We start from the raw sequence: 4,651 nt of genomic DNA, 5'->3' as shown, positions 1-4,651 counted from the left end.
CCCCATTTCAACAACAACAACAACAAAAAAAAAATTAGCCAGGTGAGGTGGCATGTGTCTGTCGCCCCAGCTACTTGGGAGGTTGAGGTAGGATGATCATTTGAGCCTGGAAGCTTGAGGCTGCAGTGAGCTGCAATAGCACCACTGCACTCCAGCCTGGGCAACAAAGTGAGCCCCTTTCTCAAAATAAATAAATAAATAAATAAATAAATAAAATAAAAAATTAAATTAAATTAAAAAAAAGAAAAAAAACTTCCCTCTCCCAAACAAAGGAGCATATAACCATCAAAATGATAAGAATTATACATATTGACATGGAGTAATGTGTTTGAGATACATTGAGGGAAACAAGCAAATTGCAAAACAGCATTATAATAACATCCTGTAATATAACAGTATTATGATAGAGTCCAGGATTATAATAGAACCCATAAAGTTATTACTATAGTTAATAATAATATGGAGGATTACTTATTAACTTGGTAACAGTTTTTATTTTTTATACCGTGTACCACTTGTAACCAGGATAAAAAAGAAACTGACAAAAGTAATTTTAAAAAGAAAATGAAAAGTTTTAGAAGTTTTATCTATATAACATTTTATTATTTAAATTTGCTGTATTTCTAAAGTAAAAATGGCCTATACTCTTCTAAAAACTTTAGTTTGTACAAACACTTCCTCTTCTAGGAATTTATTCTACAAAAAGCACTTGCAAAAGATGGCAAAGATTATGTAAAATCACGTAGATGTAGACAAGATATAGAAAAGCTATAGAAATTTTAAAATCCCATGCAATATAGAAAAGAAAAAATAAATCATCTGAAATTCCATTACCCATGCATTCAATGTCATTGGTGTATTTCCTTCCTTTCTGTCAATCTCACACCGTTCTATACACATGTATTTCATGTGCTGTTTTCTGTGTTGTTTTAACTCTAGAGACTGACCCGTTTTATAATGTCCTCTCTTTCATCTCCTCTATTGCATCTTGATGTCACTTGAAACAAAACATTTGCAGTTTTACCTTCCTATCTCAACACTTTCTCTTTGTTAGCCTTGTTTAAATATTGTTTACATGTCGCCAAGGATAAATCTCCAGCATCTTCCAAAATAGAGACCAAGGAAACGATCAGATTTCTTTAATGCTCAACTCAGTGCAATAACTTGGCTAATGGAATAAATACACGCTGAACAGTGGCACACTTGCCTTATGAAGAAAGGGCTGGCTGAGAATATCACAATTCTTGCAAAGTCCGACAAATTACAAAAATAAGATCCTTTGGTGAAAGGAAAGCCGCTGATCGGGTTCAAATCCAAGTGAAGAACAGCGTAAGCCACAAGGAAAGCTTATTTGGAAGAGAAGCACCTGATATGTCCGCCTTCTATATATTTCCCTATAACTGGCAGAGAAACTCCTACTGGATTTGGAAAAGTAAAAATAAGGAGTTTATGCAACTTTGAGTGTTGACAGAAAAATTTATCCAAGTGCTTTGCTTGCCTAAGAGGGGAGGAGAGAACAATTGGGTTGACAATGATGACAGGTCCGAGACTTGTGGGTTTAGTTACGTGAGGCCCTACTGTATTACACTTCAGGGTTATTTTGAGATGGTCACGAGAGAGCACTTGAACCCTGAACAAAGAACCTCTCTTGCCTTATCCTATTACAGATGACAGTGAAGTGTTTTAAGTGCCCGGAGTCTGATGCAACTGCAAAACCCCAACCAAAAGGCAAGTGAATGGGGGGTCTTCCATTCTCTTGCTTTGCTTTCCTCTTTAAAAGCCTCTTTGTTCCAAAACTCATGTTTCGCCCTGTTTTTCTGCGGCATTTATAATGGTCTGCCTAAGGAGACATTAGACAGGACTGGTGACATGTTCAGAGTGGGCGTCTGAATTAGCTGGTGACAGGTACAGTAAGAAAATCTTAATAACTCCAGTTACACTTGGTTTTAGCCAACTTTGTCCTCAGAGCAAAAGGAAAACTAGCATTACCAAGAACACATGCCCAAAGCCAGCTTTCCTTGCAGATAAGCAATTCAGGAATATTCAAGCCTTCAAGCCTTTCCTATGACAGAGACAGTAGAATAAATTTAAAATACTAATAAAGAGAAAGCCACTCCTTAAAAAATAATAAACAAGCCACACTATACTTTGTTGGACAATATTTACATCCCTCCAAGTTCAACATTACTTGGTAGCCACTCTGGAAAATATCTCTGTGGCAAGTTAAGACATCGATCCCAAGTCCTGTCTTAGATTAGCACCAGTTAACTGGAGTCTTCCTCCCTTTCCTTCCATTTACATGAACTTGACTAAGATCCCAAATGAATAAGGATCTTTCATCTCAGCACCAGACTTCCAGAGCAGTTATAAATATAGGCTCAAACTGCCTCACTCATGGGGTTAGGTTTTAACTTCTGACATACGAAGTGCTAATGGTTTCAGTGAATACCTGGCCAAAAATCTGCAGTGCTGTCTTTGCTCGTCATATATTATGATTCTATTATCCCAGCTAGTAACAGCTCAGTCAAATGAAAATTTCTCCCAGCCCCTTTGTTGTTGTTTTTTTTCTCACTCCCTTTAGATTTAGTTACAATGCTCAAGCTCTATATCATCAGAAGGTTTAATAGAAGAAAGAAACCATTCTTAACTCTCCAACTCAAGGTGAATGTGATAATGTCACTGGTACAATGATTTATCAAGTACAGCAGTCCTATGTGGTAGGTATTAATGTCCTCATTTTACGGATGAGGAAATTCAGGAATAAACGTTTAAGTAGTTTGCCCAAGGTCACAGAGCTGGGAAGTAAGGTGGAGGTGAGATTTGACTCTAGATTGTCAGGCTGCAAACCTATATTCCAAACCTCAGAGAAAATAAGTTCGCTAACACCCTGGTCTTTCATCTTCTCTGCTCCTCACAACAATAAGCTTGTTCATGCATTTCGAGCAAAATCTGGTAATGTGTTTCTTCTCAATTTGATTATTCAGTAACTCACTTTCACATGTGACCCTTAAAAATTTAAGCAATAACATCTACTCCAAAGATGTCAAATCACCTTATATTCACGGATAGAATTAATTTTGCAACTGTGAAAATTCTACCACATGCGTAACATCCAACAGACATATCAATAGAGTAGAGGTGGTATTTTAAGTTACAATCAGGTTGTTGAGTCATCCCTTCCTCCCCTCCACCCTGGCAAACCCCCCTGCTGCTATTCCTTTCATGTGCCTTTCCACTCCTAATTTGGTTGTCTCCCCTTAATTTGACTATGACACATTCTTTCCTACAGGTTGCCAAACATCCTTGTTATGGGACTCAAGAAAAAGCCACGTAAAAGGAAAGAAAGCTTTCCTTTCCTCTCTGGCCTGTCAAAGGGCATTCTCCCCGCACCCAGACTCCTAAAGAGGAAGGATTCTTGCTTATGGAAGGAAAGCTAGGTGAGCCTAAAGAAAAAGTTGGGGATGGAGGTAGTAGGAGTTAGAGTGAAAGGAAAACATTCTGGGAATGGATGTTAGACGTTTGGAGATGCTGGAGAAAGGTTTGCAACTGCAGAGTGCAAAGGAGGTAGATGAGACAGGAGAGAGGATTTTAATAAGTGCTGCAGTGAAATATGCATTTGGGTTTTTTTTTTTGAAATTTCTTTGAGAGATGCAAGCAAAAGTGGAAGACTTTTATAATTTTTTTTCTGTTGACTTTTGCTTCTTGTTTTTTTGTTTTGTTTTGTGTTTGAGACAGAGTCTCACTCTGTCACCCAGGCTGGTGTGTAGTGGTGCAATCTCAGCTCCCTGTAGCCTCCGCCTCCCAGGTTCAAGCGATTCTTGCCCCAGCCTACCAAGCAGCTGGGACTGCAGGTGTGCACCACCACACCCGGCTACTTTTTGTATTTTCAGTAGGCATGCGGTTTCGCCATGTTGGCCAGGCTAGTCTCAAACTCCTGGCCTCAAATGATCTGTCCGCCTCAGCCTCCCAAAGTGCTGGAATTACAGGCGTGAGCCACCGCGCCCGGCCAACTTTAGCTTCTTTAAATGCAACTCTGTGCAGAGATGGGTATGTACGGAACTTCCCCCTTCTAGATTTATTATTGTTACATCTTTGTCCACACTTCACATCCCTAGGCAAAGATCAAGGAGAAGACTGTTTCTGGAAGAGGCAGAGGGAACAGACAACGCGAAGTCCCTAAATGGGAACAAGTTTGAGTTATTGGAGGAAGTCGGTGTGAGTGGAGTTTAGGGGAAGGCAGGGAGTTACAAAATGAGGTTGGAGTGATGGGCAGAGGTTAGATCCTGCAGCACTCTGAAGTTCAGGAAAGATTTCAGAGTCTATTCTAAGTGTAGGGGAAAATAAATGACTTAAAACCTTCCATTGGAAGGTTTTAAGAAGAGGAGTAGTGTTATGAACCAAATGTGTATGTCTCCCCAAAATTCATATGTTGAAATCCTAACCTCCAATGTGATGGTGTTAGGAGGTGGGTCTTTCAGGGGTGATTAGGTCATGAGGGTAGAGCCTCATGAATGGGATTAGTGCCCTTATGACAAGAGACAGGAGAGCTTGCCGTCCTTCCGCACTCCAGCATGTGAAGATTCAAGAAGATGGCCATCTGTAAAACCAGGAAGTGGATCCTCACCAAATACTGGATTGGCCAAGCACCTTG

The 4,651-nt window shown here is 39.7% G+C and overlaps 1 annotated feature.

Moving 5' to 3' along the window:
• Positions 3,068 to 3,362: an enhancer, noted in NCBI's record as "tiled region #598; HepG2 Activating DNase unmatched - State 9:DNaseU". NCBI's record gives its function as "activates a minimal TATA promoter and a strong SV40 promoter by Sharpr-MPRA in HepG2 cells {active_cell/tissue: HepG2}" and the evidence as "EXISTENCE:reporter gene assay evidence [ECO:0000049][PMID:27701403]".

Source organism: Homo sapiens, chromosome 12, assembly GCF_000001405.40.
Source record: "Homo sapiens chromosome 12, GRCh38.p14 Primary Assembly".
In the NCBI taxonomy this organism is placed as follows: domain Eukaryota; kingdom Metazoa; phylum Chordata; class Mammalia; order Primates; family Hominidae; genus Homo; species Homo sapiens.
The sequence above is the reverse complement of the archived record's forward strand: the minus strand, read 5'-3'. Positions and strand labels throughout refer to the sequence as shown.